General features: G+C 40.6%; 1 protein-coding gene and 1 pseudogene across 7 annotated transcripts in view; both read left to right on the forward strand.

Annotated features, from left to right (window-relative positions):
* The window catches only part of SPMAP2L (sperm microtubule associated protein 2 like), a 95609-nt gene that overhangs the window by 46514 nt on the left and 27896 nt on the right, over positions 1-21199 (forward strand). For 6 of the 7 annotated variants that reach the window (XR_941041.2, XM_011534357.2, XM_011534361.3 and 3 more), the window contains exons 6-7: positions 7378-7492; positions 19381-19512. Coding sequence is in view for 6 of the 7 variants with exons in the window: in XM_011534357.2 (XP_011532659.1) it covers positions 7378-7492; positions 19381-19512 (247 nt within the window). In the remaining variant the exon portion in view is untranslated. Of the gene's footprint in view, positions 1-7377; positions 7493-19380; positions 19532-21199 lie in introns of all 7 variants that reach the window. The other variant, XM_011534365.3, reaches the window with a different exon arrangement.
* GLDCP1 (glycine decarboxylase pseudogene 1) lies at positions 15325-19146 on the forward strand (annotated as a pseudogene).

Raw genomic sequence — 21199 nt, forward strand, 5'->3', positions numbered from 1 at the left:
ATTGGCGAGGTGTGGTGGCTCACGCCTGTAATCCCAGCACTTTGGGAGGCCAAGGTGGGTGGATCATCTGAGGTCAGGAGTTTGAGACCAGCCTGGCCAACATGGTGAAACCTCATCTCTACTAAAAATATAAAAATTAGCCAGGTGTGGTGGCTCATGCCTGTAATCCCAGCTACTCAGGTGGCAGAGGCACAAGAATAGACTGAAAGTAAAAAAATAGGCACAAATAGACTGAAAGTAAAAAAATGGAAAAAGATATACCATTCACACCAGCCAAAAAAGATCTGGATTGGCCATACTGATATCAGACAATATAGACTTTAAGACAAACATTGTTACTAGAGACAGAGAAAGGACATTTTATATTATAAAAGAGTCAGTCCATTAAAAAGGGAGGTGGAGGTTGCAGTGAGCAGAGATTGCGCCACTGTACTCCAGCCTGAGCCACAGAGTGAGACTCTGTCTCAAAATAAATAAATAAATAAAATAAAGCACTGAAGGAAAAAGATTGTAAGCTAAGAATACTCTGTTTAGCAAAGTTATCCTTCGTAACTGAAGCGGAAATTACGATATTCCTAGATAAGCAAAAATTGAGATAATTCATTGCCAGCAGACCTGCTTTACGAGAAATAATAAAGAAAGTATTTCAGACTAAGTGAAAGGACAGTTATCCTGGGCATTATAGTGAGATCTCATCTCTACTAAAAACAAAAAATTTATTGGGGTGTTGTGGTGAATGCCTGTGGTCCCAGCTACTCGGGAGGCTGAGGCAGGAGAATTGCTTGAGCCTGGGAGGTTGAAGCTGCAGTGACTATGTTACTGCATTAAAGCCTTGGTGACAGAGTGAGACTGTGTCCCAAAAAGGCAAAGACATTTGACAATAACTCAAATCCAAATAAAGGGCACAAAAAGAATTAACTACATAGGTAAATATAGAATGTAGCACATTTTATATAGTACATTATAATTACATTAAAATGTAAATATGTATATATTTTTGTTTGTAACTCTTTTTCTTCTACCTGACATAAAAGACAATTGCCTAAAGCAATAATTATAAATTTATGTTGATGGGCATACAATGAATAAATAAAAGTACAAAGGAGCGGGAGGGGATAGAGCTATATAGGAGCAAAGTTATTATATACCATAGGAATTAATTTGGTGTTAGTCTGAACTAGATTGTTGTAAGATGTACAGAGAAACAACTAAGGAAATAATTTTTAAAATGTAATAAAATAAATAACAAGGAAATTTAAATGTCACAGTAGAAAATATCTAACACAAAAGAAGGAAGAAATGAAAGAACAAAGGAACAAAAAATATATAGAAAAAATAGCAACATGGCAGGCATAAATATTACCTTATCGGTAATTACATTAAATGTACATTACATTAAATGTAAATGAATTGAACACTCCAATAAAAAGACAGGATAAAAAATGGATAAAAATTCACTCAACTATATGCTGTCTACAAAAGACATACTTTAGATTCAAATAAACAAATAGACTGAAAGTAAAAAAATGGAAAAAGATATACCATGCACGCCAACCAAAAAAGACCTGGATTGGCCATACTGATATCAGACAATATAGACTTTAAGACAAACATTGTTACTAAAGACAGAGAAAGGACATTTTATATTATAAAAGAGTCAATCCATTAAAAAGACATACAATTATGGCTGGATGCAGTATCTCACACCAGCACTTTGGGAGGCCAAGGTGAGAGGATTGCTTGAGGCCAGAAATTCAAGACCAGCCTGGGTAATATAGCAAGACCTCATCTCTACAAGAAAAAAAAAAGTAAGAAAGAAAGGAAAGATAACAACTATAAACATACATGCACCCAACAGCAGAGCAAAAACCTGATAGAATTCAACAATAATAGTTGGACACTTCAATACCCCACTTTTAATAATGGGTAGAATAACAAGCAGAAGATCAGTAGTGAAATAGAAGGCTTGAATAACACTAGAAACCAACTATATCTAACACATGTCTATGAAACCTCTACTCAAAAATGGGAGAATACACATTCTTTTCAAGTGTACATGGAACATTCTCTAGGATAGATCACATATTAACTCATAAAACAAGTCTCAATAAATTTAAGAGGATTAAATTCATAGAAAATCAATTCTCTGAACCAGTTCAATGAAATTGGAAACTGATAGCAGAAGGAAATTTAGAAATTTAAAAATATGTTAAATTAATTACACTCCTAAACAACCAATAGGTCAAAGAAGAAATCACTTTGATATGAATAAAACTGAAAACATAACATACCAAAGGTTATGAGATGCAGCTAAAGTAGTGGTTAGTGGGAAATTTATAGCTGTAAATGCCTATATTAAAAAAAAAAGGGCAGGGCATGGTGGTTCACATCTGTAATCCCAGCAATTTGGGAAGCTGAAGCGAGAGAATCATTTGAGGCTAGGAGTTTGAGACCAGCCTGGGCAACATAGTGAGACCCTATCTCTTCAAATAATTAAAAAATTAATTGGCCATGGTGGCATGTGTCTGTGGTCCCAGATACTCAGAGGCTGAGGTGGGAGAATCACATAAGCCCAGGTGGTCAAGGATGCAGTGGGCTGTGATTATGTCACTGCATTCCAGTCAGGGTGACAAAACAAGACCCTGATTTTGAGTTTCTCAGAAAATCAAATAAAATGAGAAAACAAACAAATAAAAGCCAGCAAATGAGAGAACCTAGATGAAATGGACAAATTATTATAAAGACAAACTACTGAATCTGAGTCAAGAAGAAATAGACAATCTTAACAGATCTGTAACAAGTGAAGCGATTGAATTAATAAAAAGCTTCCTATGAAGAACAGCTCAGAACCAGATGGCTTTATTAGTGAATTCCATGAAATATTTAGAAAATAATTAACACCATTCCTTCAAACTCTCAAAAAATCAGACACTTTCCAACTCATTCTATGAGGACTTGTATTATCCTGATAATAAAACCAGAAAAGATGATTACCAGATAAGAAAACTGCAGACCAATATAGTTTATGAATATACATGCTATAATCCACACCAAAATACTCTACTAGCAAACCAAATCCAAATGTACATGCAACAATTCATACCAAAAACTAACAAACTGAATCCAGCAAAATGTAAAAAAAATTATACACCATGACCAAATTGGCTTTACCCCAGGAATGTGAGAATATGTTGAGTGCAAAATACAAAAATCAAAGCAATACACTAAATTAATAGAATGAAAAAAACAAAAACTACATGATCATCTCAATAGACTCAGAAAAAGCATTTGACAAAATTCAAGATACTTTTATGATAAAAATGCTAAACAAGCTAGGCATGGAAGGAAACTTCCTCAACTTGGTAAAGGGAATCTACAAGAAACACACAACTAATATAATTAATGGTGAAAGACTGAACGCTTTACCCCTGACATCAGGAACAAGCAAAGTTGTCAGCTCTCACTATTACTATTCAGTCTCATACTAGAGATTCTAACCAGGGCAATTAGGCATGAAAAAAAATAAAAAATAAAAAAAAATAAAGGGCATCCAGATCGGATAGAGAGAAGTAAAACCATCTCAAGTCAGAAATGACGTGATCTTGTATGCAGAAAATCTTAAGGAATCTACATAAAGACTATTAGAGCTAATAAATTAGTTCAAGAAGGTGCAGAATCCAAAATCAATACAGAAAAATCAATTGTATATCTACTATCAATGAACAATCTGAAAGTGAAATTAAGAAAACCAATTTTGCAGTAGTATCAAAAAGAACAAAATTATACATATAAGGAATATTGCTCAGCCTTTAAAAGGAAGAAAATTCCGACACATTCTACAGTATCGATGAACTTTGAGGACACTATGCTGAGTTTAATAAGCCAGTCACAGAAAAGACAAATACTGTATGATTTCACTTATTTGAAGTACCAAAAATAGTCAAATTCATAGTGACAGAAAGTAAGATGGCTGTTGCAGGGAATAGGGAAGGAGGAAAAGAGGAACTTAACATAATGAGACCTCATTTTCTACTAAAAATAAAAAAAAAATTAGGCCAGGCATGGTGGCTTACAACTATAATCACAGCACTTTGGGAGGCCGAGGCAGGCAGATCACCTGAAGTCAGGAGTTCGAGACTAGCCTGGCCAACATGGTAAAACCTCGTCTCTACTAAAAATACAAAAATTAGCCAGGAGTGGTGGTGTGTGCCTGTAATCCCAGTTACTTGGGAGGCTGAGGCAGGAGAATTGCTTGAACCTGGGAGGCAGAGGTTACAGTGAACCGAGACCACATCATTGCACTCCAGCCTGGGCAACAATAGTGAAACTCCATCTCCAAAAAGAAAAAAAATTAGCTGGGCATGGTGGCACAAGCCTGTAGTACCAGCTACTTGGGAGGCTGAGGCTGGAGGATTGCTTGAGCCTGGGAGATCAAGGCTGCAGTGAGATGTGATGGTGCCACTGCACTCCAGCCTGGGTGACAGAACGAGACCCTGTCTAAAAAAAAAAAAAGAATAATTCCAGCTTCCTTTTTTTCATAGAAATTGATAAAGTGATCCTAAAGTTCATATAGAAATGCAAGGGACATCAAATAGCCAAAAACATTCTTGAATAAGAACAAAGTTGGAAGACAGTTTTCTCATTTCAAAACTTACAGAAAAGCTGCAGTAATTAAGACAATTTGTTACAGGCACAAGGATAGACATTTAGAGCAATGAAACAGAATTGATAGTGCAGAAGTAAACCCCTACATTTATGGGCAATTGATTTTTGGCAAGAGTGTCAAGATAGTTTAATGGGGAAAAAATAGTATTTTCAACAAATGGTGCTGTGATAACTGGCTATTTGCATGCAAAAGAATGATGTTTGACGCCCACATCATACATGAAAATTAACTCAAAATTGATCACAGACCTAAATATAAGAGCTAAAACTATAAAACTCATAGAGAAAAACACAGGCATACTTCTCTGTGATCTTGAGATAGGCAATGGTTTCTTAGATATGACCTTTGGTGTCATATCTTAGCTATGACCTTTTGTTGTCATATCTAAGCTCATGTGACAAAAGAAAAAATAAATTGGACTTCATCAAAAGTAACTTTTATGCATTAAAGGACACTACCAAGAGAGTGAAAAGACAACCCACAAAATAGGAGAAAATTATTGAAAATCATATATCTGATCAGGGACTAATATTCAGAATATATAAAAATTATCCTGAAAAATGTACAATAAAAGACAAATAACCCAATTTTTTAAATCGGCAAAGGATTTAAATAGATGTTTACCCCAAAAAGATATACAAATAGACAAGAAGCATATGAAAAGATGCTCAGCATCATTTGCCTTCCTGGAAATGCAAATTAAAATCACAATGAGATACCACTTCACACTTATAAGAATGGCAAGGATAATGATAAGAAATAATAAATCAACAAAAAAAACAGGTTGTTGAGGATGTGGAAACATTAAAACCCTTATACATTTCTGGTAGGAATGTAGAATACTGCAACTGATATAGAAAACAGTTTTTCAGTGCCTCAAAATGTTAAATATAGAGTTATTATATAAGCCAGCAATTAGACTCCTAGACATGTACCCAAGATAATTAAAAACGTAAATTCACACAAAACTGGTACACAAATATTCCTAGCAGCATTATTCATAATAGCCAAAAACTGGCAACAATTCAAATGTTCATCAATGGATATGAATAGATACACAAAATGTGGCAATCCATACAATGGAATATTATTCAGCCATAAAAAAGAATGAAGTATTGATACATCAATCTTCTAAACATGCTAAGTGAAGGAAGGCAGACACAAAAGGCTACATATTTGTATCAGTCTATTTATTTGAAATTCCTGGCCGGGTGCAGTGGCTCACACCTGTAATCCCAGCACTTTGGGAGGCTGAGGTGGGCAGATCACTTGAGGTCAGGCGTTCGAGAACAGCCTGGCCAACATGGTGAAACCCCATCTCTACTAAAAAATACAAAAATTAGCCAGGCATGGTGGTGTGTGCCTGTAATCCGAGCTACTTGGGAGGCTGAGGCAGGAGAATCGCTTGAACCCAGGAGGCGGAGGTTAGAGTGAGCCCAGATAGTGCTACTGCACTCCAGCCTGGGTGACAGAGCGAGACTCCATCTGAGAAAAAAAAATAAAAGGAAAAAAAAAAGAAATTCCGGAATAGGCCAATCCATAGATCCAAATCCATAGAGACTGAAAGTAGATTAGTGGTTCCCAGGATTCTGAAATTAGATAGTGGTGGTGGTTGCATATCTTTGTGAATATTTTAGAAACCACTGAATTGTATACTTTAAAAGGGTAAATTTTATGGTATGTTGATTGTATCTCAGCAAAAAAACAAAACCCAAACTAATAGCCTACCCCTAGAGAGTAATCATGTATTTATTTGAGAAAAAAAATTTTCCATATTAGGCTCGTAGGTTTGTCATTTAATTGATAGGTTTTTGATTAGGGAAAGAAATATGTGGGGAGCAGCCTATGAAAATTGGCCAAGTGGCTGGCAGTTATGACCAGCACTATCTCAAATCATACTACAGAGGAGACTGGCCATTGCAGAGGGGCCCTCAGTGGTGACTGGAATTTTTATTTCAGAGATTTAAGAGGAGGAATTGGTATAGAATGAAGTGTTTTTCATAATGAAGGTCATAACTCATTCATAACAGATCATAAAATCAATTCCAGTTTTTTTATAATGAAATTAAATTAAAATTTAAAAATTAGAGTGCATTGTATAGGATAAGTATTATTTCATAATAATTTTGGTTTCAGATACACAAACACACATTTACATATACTGTATCACAATATAAAATGTAAATTTTTTTTTTTTTGAGACTAGGGTCTCACTTTGTCACCCAGGCTGGAGTGCAGTGGTGCAATCTTGGCTCACTGCAGCCTTGACCTCTTGGGCTCAAGTGATCCTCCCGCCTCAGCCTTGCAAGTAGCTGGGACTACAGGCACATGCCACCACACCTGGCTAATTTTTTTAGTTTTTGTAGAGACAGGATCTCACCATGTTTGCCTGGCTGGTCTCAAACTCTAGGCCTCAAGCAATCCTCCCACCTCCACCTTTCAAGGCAGAGGGATTACAGACATGTTGGGATGCCTGTTGGGATTACAGACATGAGCCACTGTGCTGGCAAAAATGTACTTCTTACTGTGGATCATAGCAAAAAAATTTTAAGAAACACCAATCTGATAGAAAGAGCATGACTGTGGGATAGATGTTCCTAAGATAGAAGCAGTGTATATAATCGATTAGAAGTTGATTGTAGTAATGGAAAATCCAGTTGTTGTTTCTCCATCCAACAGTTATAATATTTCATGTTTCCATTTGCATATAGACCCTTCAGTGATAACTCAGCAAGAGATTCTCTTCGAATCTCTGATCCTTCTCCCCGGATATTACAACTCTCAGTAGCCAAAGGCACAGACCCAAACTATCATCCTTCAAAAAAAGTAAGTGTGCCCTTGTGGAAGAAACAGTTCCTGATTGACTTGTAACATGCTGCCTACCCTCTTTTTCTAGATGTGTTTTCCTTTCTTCCTGTTTATTTTTCCCTCTTATCAAATGAACTTTTCTGACTCTTTCTTCCATGCCTAATGTATCAGTCAGGATTGGATCAGAGAAGCAGAACCACTATGGATGATGTAGAATACAGGATTTATTATAGAGATTAGCCCTTCAGCAACTGTGGGAACTGGTGGAGAAGCCTGTGGAAGGCTGTTATGGCAGCTGGGACTTGAGTCTGGTTATACATCTAGAAGCAATGAGATATAATAGGGGCAAGTCAGCAGTTCCCTGGAATATGTCTATGATAGGGGAAGCCTCTATGGGTTCTTTAGGCAAGGAGGGTCTAACCTCTTCCGATGGAGGAAAGGTTGATTCTAATAGCAAGGGAGGCTCAGCAGTATTTTGGGGTTTAAAGTCCCCAGCTTCATTGGAATCTGCCTATATATCCCCATTCCAATGTTGAAGGCCCCACTCTTGTCCAATCATTGCTCTAACTTTAACATAAAAGACTGTTCAAATTTGGAAATTCAATTTTCACTATAATTCACCCACTCATAAAATTAGATTCTGGGTCTGGTTTTCAGAATGTTCAGCCCTGTGCTATTAGAAGATAAGGCTTTCAAAATTTTAGAGAAGTCATAGAAGCTTTTTGGTTCTGTATGTGGACATTACCGTGGGATTTTATTTTTTTATTTTTTAAGACAAGGTCCCACTCTGTCACCCAGGCTGGAATGCAGTCATGTGATCACAGCTCACTGCAGCTTTGACCTCCCAGGCTCAAATGATCCTCCTACCCTGGCCTGAATAGTTGGGACTACAGGTGTCTGCCACCACAATCAGCTGATTTTTACATTTTTTGTAGAGACAGTTTCCTTATGTTGTTCAGGCTGGTCTTGAATTCCTGGGCTCAAGCGATCCTCCCACCTTGACCTCCCAAAATGCTGGGATTATAGGTGTGAGCCACTGCGCCTGTCCTACAGTTGGAATTTAAAGGCCTGAACTTACCACTTTCTTTTCTCAAGTTCTTCAGTTCACTTAGAAGCAACCAAGCAATCCTACTGCACTTATTTATTTCACTAAAATGTTTGCTTGTAGCAGCTGCTTCATCACCCAAAGCCTTGCTTTCTGTTTTGCCACTGCACGCCATGGACTACAGTGTATTTTTTTTCACCACTAGCAATAGGATCATTAATGCCTTTAAATCTAATCAGTTTGGAAAACAAACTCCAGATAATCTAAAACCAATACAGAGAACCCAGCCTTAAAGTTCTCATCTAGGTGTCTGTTGCTTTATGCCAAACCATCCCCAAACTTAGTGGCATAAAACAACAATGATTTTATTATGTTCAAGGATTTTATGACTGAGAAATTCTGACTGGGCAAGCAGGTATGGCCTTTTCTCTGCTCCATGATGTCTGGGGCCTCAGCTGGGAAATCTGTAATGCCTTGGGTGTCTGAAATGGTGGGGGGCTGGAATCATCTGGAGGCTCCTTTACACTTGTCTTAGTCAGCTTGGGCTGCTGTAACCTAAAACCATCGTCTGGGTAAATTAAACAAAAGATATTTATTTCTCACAGTTCTGAAGCCTGGGAAGTCCAAGATTAAGATACTGGCATATTCTTTTCTTGGTGAGGGCCCACTCCCTGGCTTGCAGACAACCACGATTTTGCTGTATACTCACATGACCTCTTCTTTGTAGGTTCTCAGAGAGAAAGATCTCTGGTCTCTCTTCCTTTTCTTATAATGACACTAATCCTATTATGGGGGCTCCAGTCTCATGACTTCATCCAAATCTAATTACTACCCAAAGTGCCCCACCTCCTAATTCAATCACTGGGGGTTTGGGCTTCAACATGTGAATTTCAGAGGGACACAAACAGTCAGTCCACAATAACACCTGTGTGTGGTGCCCAGGCTGGGATAATCTGAAAGCTAGATAGACTCAGTTGGGAATATCTGTAGGAGTTCCTTCATATGGTCTCTCCATGTGGCTTAGACCTTTCTTGTCAGGAGAGCTGTTCTGAGAAGGAATATACTAATATGGAGTGTCTCAAGGGTGAATATTTTGAGAGAACAGGTGGAAGCTGCATGGTTTTTATGGCTTGGCCTTAGAAGTCACATAACATTACAGCAGTCATACTCTGTTTATTGTTGTAGTTACAAGTCTGGCCAGATTCAAGGGGGCAGCGACACAAACCCCACCTCTCAATTAAGAGAAGTGTCAAAGAATTTATAGGCACTTAAAAAAAACTGCCACACCCAATGATGTAAGCTTTTTAGGTATCCTTGAGCATGGATTTTATATGCAGAAAAGACTGTTTAGAGGTATGCTATAAATAATCAATAGCCTCATTTTTAAATTTTCAAATTTAAAAGTTGATTTTTCTTAGGCTTTTAAGTTTGGCTTGCAAGTTTTATTATTTTATTTATAATTCCAGGAGTTTTTAACAATTAATTTTAAGAGCCCTAAATAATTTTTTTTACATAGCTGCCCCTAAAATGTTTATTTTATAAATTTACCTTTTACACTTTATTTTCATTCAACTTACTCATTTTACAGTGCAAAAACAATTGTACTTTATCCATTCTTCCTTGGTCCATTGATTGATTGATTGATTGATTGATTGATTTCTTCATTCAACTTTTTTCTTTTTTTGTGATTTTTCCATAAGTTATTGGGGTACAGGTAGTGTTTGGTTACATGAGTAAGTTCTTCAGTGGTGATTTGTGAGATTTTGGTGCACCCATCACCCAAGCAGTCTACACAGCACCATATTTGTAGTCTTTTGTCCCTCACCCCCCTCCCACTCTTCCCCCCCAAGTCCTCAAAGTCCATTGTATCATTCTTATGCCTTTGCGTCCTCATAGCTTAGCTCCCACATATCAGTGAAAACATACAGTGTTTGGTTTTTCATTCTTGAGTTACTTTACTTAGAATAATTGTCTCCAATTTCATCCAGGTCACTGCAAATGCTATTAATTCATTCCTTTTTATGGCTGAGTAGTATTCCATCCTATACATTTACCACAGTTTCTTTATCCACTTGTTGATTGATGGGCATTTGTGTTGGTTCCATGATTTTGCAATTCTGAATTGTGCTGCTATAAACATGCATGTGCAAGTATCTTTTTCAAATAAGGGCTTCTTTTCCTCTGGGTGGATACCCAGCAGTGGGATTGCTGGATCAAATGGTAGTTCTACTTTTAGTTCTTTAAGGAATCTCCACACTGTTTTCCACAGTGGCTGTACTAGTTTACATTCCCACCAGCAGTGTAGAAGTGTTCCCTGATCACCGCATCCACACCAACATCTACTGTTTTCGGATTTTTTGATTACGGCCATTCTTGCAGGAGTAAGCTGGTATTGCATTGTAGTTTTGATTTGCATTTCCTTGATCATTAGTGATGTTGAGCATTTTTTCATATGTTTGTTGGCCATTTGTATATCTTCTTTTGAGAATTGTCTGTTCATGTCCTTAGCCCAACTTTTAATGGGATTGTTTGTTTTCTTCTTACTGATTTGAGTTTGTTGTAGATTCTGCATATTAGTCCTTTGTCAGATGTATGGATTGTGAAGATTTTCTCCCACTCTGTGGGTTGTCTGTTTACTCTGCTGACTGTTCTTTTGCTGTGCAAAAGCTCTTTAGTTTAATTAAGTCTCAGCTATTTATCTTTGTTTTTATTGCATTTGCTTTTGAGTTCTTGATCATGAAATCCCTGCCTAAGTCAATGTCTAGAAGGGTTTTTCCAGTGTCATCTTCCAGAATTTTTTTTTTTTTTTTGAGACGGAGGTTCATTCTTGTTGCCCAGGCTGGAGTGCAATGGTGCGATCTTGGCTCACTGCAACCTCTGCCTTCCAGGTTCAAGCAATTTGCCTGCTTCAGCCTCCCAAGTAGCTGGGATTATAGGCATGCACCACCACGCCAGGCTAATTTTGTATTTTTAGTAGAGATGGGGTTTCTCTATACGGGTTAGGCTGGTCTTGAACTCCCAACCTCAGGTGATCCGCCTACCTCAGCATCCCAAAGTGCTGGGATTACAGGCGTTAGCCACTGTGTCCAGCCATCTTCTAGAATTTTTATAGTTTCAGGTCTTAGGTTTAAGTCCTTAATCCATCTTGAGTTTATTTTTGTATAAGGTGAGAGATGAGGACCCAGTTTCATTCTCCTACTTGTGGCTAGCCAATTATCCCAGCACCATTTGTTGAACAGGGTGTCCTTTCTCCACTTTATGCTTTTGTTTGCTTTGTCAAAGATCAGTTGGCTGCAAGTATTTGGGCTTATTTCTAGGTTCTCTATTCTTTTCCATTGGTCTCTGTGCCTATTTTTTTTTCTTTTTTTGAAATGGAGTCTTGCTGTGTCACCCAGGCTGGAGTGCAGTGGCGCAATCTCAGCTCACTGCAATCTCCGCCTCCCAGGTTCAAGTGATTCTCCTGCTTCAGCCTCCTGAGTAGTTGGGATTACAGGCGCCCACCACCACACCTGGCTAATTTTGGTATTTTTAGTCGAGGCAGAGTTTCACCACGTTGGCCAGGCTGGTCTCGAACTCCTGACCTCAAGTGATCTGCCCGCCTTGGCCTCCCAAAGTGCTGGGATTACAGGTGTGAGCCACTGCACCCAGCGTATGTGCCTATTTTTATACCAGCACCGTACTGTTTTGGTGACTACGGCCTTATAGTATAGTTTGAAATCAGGTAGTGTGAGGCCTCCAGATTTGTTCTTTTTGCTTAGTCTTGCTTTGGCTATTCAGGCTCTTTTTTGGTTCCATATGAATTTTAGAATTGTTTTTTCTAATTTTGTGAAGAATGATGGTGTTATTTTGATGGGGATTGCACTGAATTTGTAGATTGCTTTTGGCACTATGGTCGTTTTCACAATATTGATTCTACCCATCCATGAGCATGGGATGTGTTTCCATTTGTTTGTGTCATCTGTGATTTCTTTCAGCAGTGTTTTGTAGTTTTCTTTGTAGAGGTCTTTTGACTCCTTGGTTAGGTATATTCCTAAGGTTTTTTTTGTTGTTGTTGTTGTTTTGGGTTTTTGTTGTTGTTGTTGTTGTTTTGTTTTTGTGTGTGGGGGGGTTTTGTTTTTTTGTTTTATTTTTTTTGCAGCTATTGTAAAAATGGTGGAGTTCTTGATTTGTTTCTCTGCTTGGTCACTGTTGGTGCATAGAAGAGCTACTGATTTGTATACATTAATCTTGTATCCAGAAACTTTGCCAAATTCTTTTAGTAGTTCTAGAAGCTTTCTGGAGGAGTCTTTAGGGTTTTCAAGGTAAATGATCATGTCATGCAAACAGTAACAGTTTGACTTCCTCTTTACTGATTTGGATACCCTTTATTTCTTTCTCTTGTCTGATTGCTTTGGCTAGGACTTCCAGTACTATGTTGAAGAGGAGTGGTGAGAGTGGGCATCCTTGTATTGTTTCAGTTCTCAGAGAACTTTCAACTTTTCCCCATTCAGTATTATGTTGGCTGTGAGTTTGTCATAGAGGGCTCTTATTACATTGTTATGTCCCTTGTATTTTGCTGAGAGTTTGCTGGATTTTGGAGAGTTTTGGAGAGTTAGATGCTTTTTCTGCATCTATTGAGATGATCATGTGATTTTTGTTTTTAATTCTGTTTATGTGGTGTATCACATTTATTGACTTGCATGTGTTAAACCATTCCTGCATCCCTGGTGTGAAACCTAGGTATTAAGTTCAAAATTATGCATGGCTAAAAGGTTCATTCAATGTGCAAGATAAGCAAATGGATTGTAAGGTAATGAAGTACAAAAAGTTCATTCACATAGTTTCAAATGGTACTTTTTGCAGCTACCATTTAAGAAACTAGCACTTTTCAAGTTGTAGTATCGAGGAAGAATATCCACAGTTATCTGAAAAGGCTCTTGGGCTCAATCCATCCTCCTGCTTCAGCCTCACAAACTGCTGATGTCACAGGCATGATCCACCACACCCAGCCTTATGGTTCTTTCTAAGTTGAAAATTACATTAAGGAAAGGAACTGTATCTTATTATTCCTTGTTGGGTCTTACATACTATAATTGACTAAGAAATATTTGTTTAATAAATTGAATAAGTACATGATTATTTTAAGTCTTTTTAGATCATAAGCCTTAATTGAAAGCAATGGTTGTCATATATTTCTTTCATTTTCCCAGAGGCTGAGAGGACAGACAGCTTTATTCACGCTTTAAAATGCTTAAAATGTTTAACTAGTACTTTGTTGTGTCGTACAAAGAGGTAGGATCTTCAGTTTGAATGTTACCTCTACATCTTACTGTGTAAACTTAAATAAATTAATGAATCTCACAATACCTTGGTTTCTGTCTTAGAGAATTAGAAATAAAAATGATACCCGAGGTGATGAATAAATGATTCAATATGTTATGGTTTGATTTGTGTCCCCATCCAAATCTCATGTAGAATTATAATTCCCAGTGTTGGAGGAGGGGTCTGGTGGGAGGTAATTGGATCATGAGAGTGGATATCCCCCTTGCTGTTCTTGTGATAGTGAGTGAGTTCTCAGGAGATTTGGTTGTTAAAAGTGTGTAGCACCTTCCCCTTTGCTCTGTCTCCTGTTCCCACCATGTAAGATGTGCTTCCCCTTTGCCCTTCCACCATGATTGTAAATTTCCTGAGGCCTCCCCAGCCATGCCACCTGTACACCCTGCAGAACCATGAGCCAACAAGACCTCACTTTACAAATTACCCCATCTCAGGTAGGTCTTTATAGCAATGCAAGGATAGACTAATACACAAAACATGTGAAACACTGTCAGTGTTAGTATCATCATCATAATCTTCATCATCAATTAAATAGCACAAAAAGGAATTTGATTAATACACAAAACATGTAAAATTTGACTAATACACAAGACTAATACACAAAACATGTGAAACACTGTCAGTGTTAGTATCATCATCATCATAATAATCATCATCAATTAAACAGCACAGGAAGGAATTTTAACCCACAGTTAAAGCCCCATTTTATTTCGTTATTGATTATATTTTCCTTCAAAGTTTTGTGGTAAGCTTTGATTTTGAATACAAGTAATTTAAATAGAAGACCATGTAATTTGAACAAATTTCCACAATTCAGATAGTGAAGAATAACTTGGGAGTCTAGTGGGGAGACGTATGGTTCTGCTTTTCTTCTTATTGGCTTTGGCTTCTTTTTCTTATCTATTCCAATTAGAAGAGAGACACTTAAATTCACTTTAAGCATGGTGATTTGTGATAATATGAGCCCCAATTCCCAAAGGGCAAAAATAATTATGAACAAAGCTAAGTCACCCTTTATAGCAGGGATCCCCAACCCCTAGGCTGTGGACCAATACCGGTCCGTGGCCTGTTAGGAATCAGGCAGCACAGCAGGAGGTGAGCAGGAGGGTGAGTGACCATCACTACCTGAGTTCCACCTCCCGTCAGATCAGCAGTGGCATTAGATTCTCATAGGAGCGTGAACCCTATTGTTAACTGTGCATGCAAAGGATCTAGGTTGTGCTCTCCTTATGAGAATTTAATGCCTGATTATCCAAGTTGGAACAGTTTCATCCCTAAACCATCCTTTTCCCAACACTGCCCATGGAAAAATTGTCTTCTGTGAAACTGGTCCCTGGTGTCCAAAAGGTTGGGGACCGCTGCTTTATAGCATTCTTTTTTGGTGGGGCTGAGCCTGGCCTCTTGGCTGAGTTTATCATTACCATTTATCTCTGAATCAGTTATTTGCTATTGCCTCAATGTCTTTAGTTTAACAGTTAAGTTCTTGAAAAGCTACGTTGGGGAGCCACAACTTTGCGCGAGTGTCTTGGTTGAGCGCAGCGCCCATTCATTGCCCGCGAGCGTCCATCCATCTGTCCGGCTGGCGGTCCAGCGAAAGGGGCTCCAGGCTGGACGCAGCCGCCACCCGGGGGACCGAGGCCAGGAGAGGGGCCGAGAGCGCGGCTGACCCTTGCGGGCCGGGGCAGGGGACGGTGGCCGCGGCCATGCAGTCCTGTGCCAGGGCGTTGGGGCTGCTCCTGGGCCGCGGGGTCGGGGGCGGCCGCCGCCTGGCTGGGGGATCGGGGCTGTGCTGGGCGCCGTGGGGCCGGGACAGCAGCAGTGCCGGCGGGGACAGCGCCGCGGCTGGGGCCTCGCGCCTCCTGGAGCGCCTTCTGCCCAGACACGACGACTTCGCTCGGAGGCACATCGGCCCTGGGGACAAAGACCAGAGAGAGATGCTGCAGATCTTGGGGCTGGCGAGCATTGATGAATTGATCGAGAAGACGGTCCCTGCCAACATCCATTTGAAAAGACCCTTGAAAATGGAAGACCCTGTTTGTGAAAATGAAATCCTTGCAACTCTGCATGCCATTTCAAGCAAAAACCAGATCTGGAGATCCTATATTGGCATGGGCTATTGTAACTGCTCAGTGCCACAGACGATTTTGCGGAACTTACTGGAGAACTCAGGATGGATCACCCAGTATACTCCATACCAGCCTGAGGTGTCTCAGGGGAGGCTGGAGAGTTTACTCAACTACCAGACCATGGTGTGTGACATCACAGGCCTGGACATGGCCAGTGCATCCCTGCTGGATGAGGGACTGCGGCTGCAGAGGCGCTGCAGCTGTGCTACAGACACAAGAGGAGGAAATTTTTTGTTGACCCCCATTGCCACCCACAGACAATAGCTGTTGTCCAGACTCGAGCCAAATATACTGGAGTCCTCATTGAGCTGAAGTTACCCTGTGAAATGGACTTCAGTGGAAAAGATGTCAGCGGAGTGTTGTTCCAGTACCCAGACACGGAGGGGAAGGTGGAAGACTTTACGGAACTCGTGGAGAGAGCTCATCAGAGTGGGAGCCTGGCCTGCTGTGTGTGCTACTGACCTTTTAGCTTTGTGCATCTTGAGGCCACCGGGAGAATTTGGGGTAGACATCGCCTTGGGCAGCTCCCAGAGATTTGGAGTGCCACTGGGCTATGGGGGACCCCACGCAGCATTTTTTGCCGTCCGAGAAAGCTTGGTGAGAATGATGCCTGGAAGAATGGTGGGGGCAACAAGAGACGCCACTGGGAAAGAAGTGTATTGTCTTGCTCTTCAAACCAGGGAGCAACACACTGAGAGAGACATGGCTACCAGCAACATCTGTACAGCTCAGGCCCTCTTGGCGAATATGGCAGCCATGTTTGCAATCTACCATGGTTCCCATGGGCTGGAGCATATTGCTAGGAGAGTACATAATGCCACTTTGATTTTGCCAGAAGGTCTCAAGCGAGCAGGGCATCAACTCCAGCATGACGTGTTCTTTGATACCTTGAAGATTCAGTGTGGCTGCTCAGTGAAGGAGGTCTTGGGCAGGGCCGCTCAGCGGCAGATCAATTTTCGGCTTTTTGAGGATGGCACACTTGGTATTTCTCTTGATGAAACAGTCAATGAAAAAGATCTGGACGATTTGTTGCGGATCTTTGTTTGTGAGTCATCTGCAGAACTGGTTGCTGAAAGCATGGGAGAGGAGTGCAGAGGTATTCCAGGGTCTGTGTTCAAGAGGACCAGCCCGTTCCTCACCCATCAAGTGTTCAACAGCTACCACTCTGAAACAAATATTGTCCGGTATATGAAGAAACTGGAAAATAAAGACATTTCCCTTGTTCACAGCATGATTCCACTGGGATCCTGCACCATGAAACTGAACAGTTCGTCTGAACTCGCACCTATCACATGGAAAGAATTTGCAAACATCCACCCCTTTGTGCCTCTGGACCAAGCTCAAGGATATCAGCAGCTTTTCTGAGAGCTTGAGAAGGATTTGTGTGAACTCACAGGTTATGACCAGGTCTGTTTCCAGCCAAACAGGGGAGCCCAGGGAGAATATGCTGGACTGGCCACTATCCGAGCCTACTTAAACCAGAAAGGAGAGGGGCACAGAACGGTTTGCCTCATTCTGAAATCAACACATGGGACCAACCCAACAAGTGCCCACATGGCAGGCATGAAGATTCAGCCTGTGGAGGTGGATAAATGTGGGAATATCAATGCAGTTCACCTCAAGGCCATGGTGGATAAGCACAAGGAGAACCTAGCAGCCATCATGATTACATACCCATCCACCAATGGGGTGTTTGAAGAGAACATCAGTGACGTGTGTGACCTCATCCATCAACATGGAGGATAGGTCTACCTAGACGGGGCAAATATGAACGCTCAGGTGGGAATCTGTCGCCCTGGAGACTTTGGGTCTGATGTCTCGCACCTAAATCTTCACAAGACCTTCTGCATTCCCCACAGAGGAGGTGGTCCTGGCATGGGGCCCATTGGCGTAAGAAATACCTTGCCCCGTTTTTGCCCAATCATCCCATCATTTCACTAAAGCGGAATGAGGATGCCTGTCCTGTGGGAACCGTCAGTGCGGCCCCATGGGGCTCCAGTTCCATCTTGCCCATTTCCTGGGCTTATATCAAGATGATGGGAGGCAAGGGCCTTAAACAAGCCACGGAAACTGCGATATTAAATGCCAACTACATGGCCAAGCGATTAGAAAAACACTACAGAATTCTTTTCAGGGGTGCAAGAGGTTATGTGGGTCATGAATTTATTTTGGACACGAGACCCTTCAAAAAGTCTGCAAATATTGAGGCAGTGGATGTGGCCAAGAGACTCCAGGATTATGGATTTCACGCCCCTATCATGCCCTGGCCTGTGGCAGGGACCCTCATGGTTGAGCCCACTGAGTCGGAGGACAAGGCAGAGCTGGACAGATTCTGTGATGCCATGATCAGCATTCGGCAGGAAGTTGCTGACATTGAGGAGGGCCGCATCGACCCCAGGGTCAATCCGCTGAAGATGTCTCCACACTCCCTGACCTGCGTTATATCTTCCCACTGGGACCGGCCTTATATTCCAGAGAGGTGGCAGCATTCCCACTCCCCTTCGTGAAACCAGAGAACAAATTCTGGCCAGTGATTGCCCGGATTGATGACATATATGGAGATCAGCACCTGGTTTGTACCTGCCCACCCATGGAAGTTTATGAGTTGCCATTTTCTGAACAAAAGAGGGCCTCTTCTTAGTCCTCTCTCCCTAAGTTTAAAGGACTGATTTGGTGCCTCTCCCCAGAGCATTTGATAAGCAAGAAAGATTTCATCTCCCACCCCAGCCTCAAGTAGGAGTTTTATATACTGTGTATATCTCTGTAATCTCTGTCGAGGTAAATGTAAATACAGTACCTGGAGGGAGTCGAAGCTGATGGTTGGAAGACAGATTTGCTTTGGTATTCTGCTTACATGTGTGCCAGTTGCCTGGATTGGGAGCCATTTTGTGTTTTGCATAGAAAGTTTTAGGAACTTTAACTTTTAATGTGGCAAGTTTGCAGACTTTATAGAAGCTATCCAGGAGACTTAATAGACATTTTTTTGTTCCAAAAGAGTCCATGTGGACTGTGCCATCTGTGGGAAATCCCAGGACAAATGTTTACATTTTGTATACCCTGAAGAACTCTTTTTCCTCTAATATGCCTAATCTGTAATCACATTTCTGAGTGTTTTCCTCTTTTTCTGTGTGAGGTTTTTTTTATCTGCATTTATTAGTATTCTAATAAAAGCATTTTGATTGGAAAACAAAACACAACAACAAAAAAAAGAAAAGCTACATCGGAATCCATGTAATCTTGTTTGAGAAAGATAGAAATTGATCCTTTCAGCTGTGATTATAGGTTACTGCAAGATTCCCACCCTTTCTGCTGGAGTGTTGAGAAGTCTGGCCCAGAGGTCAAATCATACTTTGTAATCTTGAACTAAATAGTGTTTATTACTTGATGCTTATAAGTACTGTTTTATTTTTCTCCCCTAGATGCAAACCAAGATTTCACTTTCTACCCTGAGTGCGATTGCAACTCCAAGAATTATAGAGCTTGCCCACCCAAGGATCAAGTTAGAGGGTCTGTGCTATGAAAGACAAAGAAGTGAACTGCCCATCCGTCCTGTAAGCCATCGCTACCTTGGTATCCTTCAGCTCACTTTTTGGCTGCTCTTAGGATGCTATTTTGCCTCTACAGGGCATAGCCCAAAGTCACTGGAAAAGAGAATCTGGGAAGAGTGGTCTGTGGCAGGAAGAGAGACTAGCTAGATGATAGGGAGAGAGGGAAAAGAGTAGAACACCAAAAGCATGGGCTTTGGAGTTCAGTTTTGGAGCTGGATTCAAATTGCAGCCTCGTCACTACAAGCTCTATGATGTTGGGACAAACTTCCTGAGCTTTATTCATTCAACAAATATTTGGATGCCTACTGTGAGCCAGGCAGTGATCCCAGTGAACAACTTGGAGCTCTATGCTAATCAGGGGAGACAAACAATAAATTAGTCAATAGATAATGTCAGATCATGCTAAATGCTATCAGGAAAATAACATAGAAAATGAATGACTGTGGGGCAGGGTGGTAAGATACTTTGCCTATGGTAGTCAGTGAAGGCCTCTCTAAGGAAGGAATATTTGAGCTGAAACCTGACTGGTAAGAAGGAGTCAACCAAGTGAAGATCTAGAAGAATATTCCAGTAAAGGGAAGAGTACATGCCAAAGTACTAAAGTTGGGATGCACTTGAAATTGGGTGGAGCAAGGTGAGCTAGAGAATTCTGGAGATAGCCGCCCTCACCGAGTGGTCTGCTGTGTTGAGCAATAACAGGTAAGTCATGGCACTCAGCACAGAGCCTGGAACCTTTGATGGCTTCCCTCCCTCTTCATCCTTGACATTCCCCACCATCAATTGCAGTGCCAACTTGGTGCCCTATTCCAATTGGGTTTTCAAAAAATATCTAATGATCATGTTGCCAAAAGAGGTGGGGCCAGTTTCACCCTGTTTCAAGGAAACTGAGGATTTAATATGGAATTCTATTAGGAAAGAAAACCATTCTGGGAATCAGAAACTCTTGGACGAGTGTCTTAAGTTTACTAAAGTGACTTGTGACTGTCAGGCAAATGACTTTATTCTCAGTTTTTTGGTATGTAAAAATGGAAGTAATGGAGATCTTTCCTTAATTGCTAGGATTGTTTGGGTTTATTTTATTTTTTAAGGTCTTTAGAAAAAAGGAATACCACTGCAGAAAATCATAGTCTTAGAACCCGAAACAAATCTGCACCAGTGCAATGCAGAACACTTTCAAGACTACTGAGAGTGGTGTTAGCTGTCCTCCCTAATTCTTTTGTTTGTTTTTTTTGTGATGGTGGTGTTTTTTTTTTAGACAGTGTCTTGCTCTGTCACCCAGGCTGGAGTGCAGCAGCACGATCATGGCTCACTGCAGCCTCAACCTTCTGGGCTTAAGTGATCCTCCCACCTCAGCCACCTGAGCAGCTGGGACTACAGGCATGTGCCACCACCCCCAAGTTTTAAAAATTTTTTTGTAGAGACAGGGGTCTCACTATATTGCCCAGGCTGGTCTGGAACCCCTGAGCTCAAGTGATCCTTGTGCCTCAACCTCCCAAAGAGCTAGGATTATAGGTGTGAGCCATCATGGCTAGCCCCACTCTAATTCTTTTGAGTGAGCATTTAAAAGAGAGTAGTAGATGTCATCCTAGGTATTTTACCAATAAAGCAACATAACAGAAAGGCAATCTGGTAGATGTGGTTTTTAAAGTAAGACCAAAAGGAGTCAGTCAGTATATGTTTATTCAGCACC

The sequence above is a fragment of the Homo sapiens genome, chromosome 4 (genome assembly GCF_000001405.40).
Source record: "Homo sapiens chromosome 4, GRCh38.p14 Primary Assembly".
Lineage (NCBI taxonomy): Eukaryota > Metazoa > Chordata > Mammalia > Primates > Hominidae > Homo > Homo sapiens.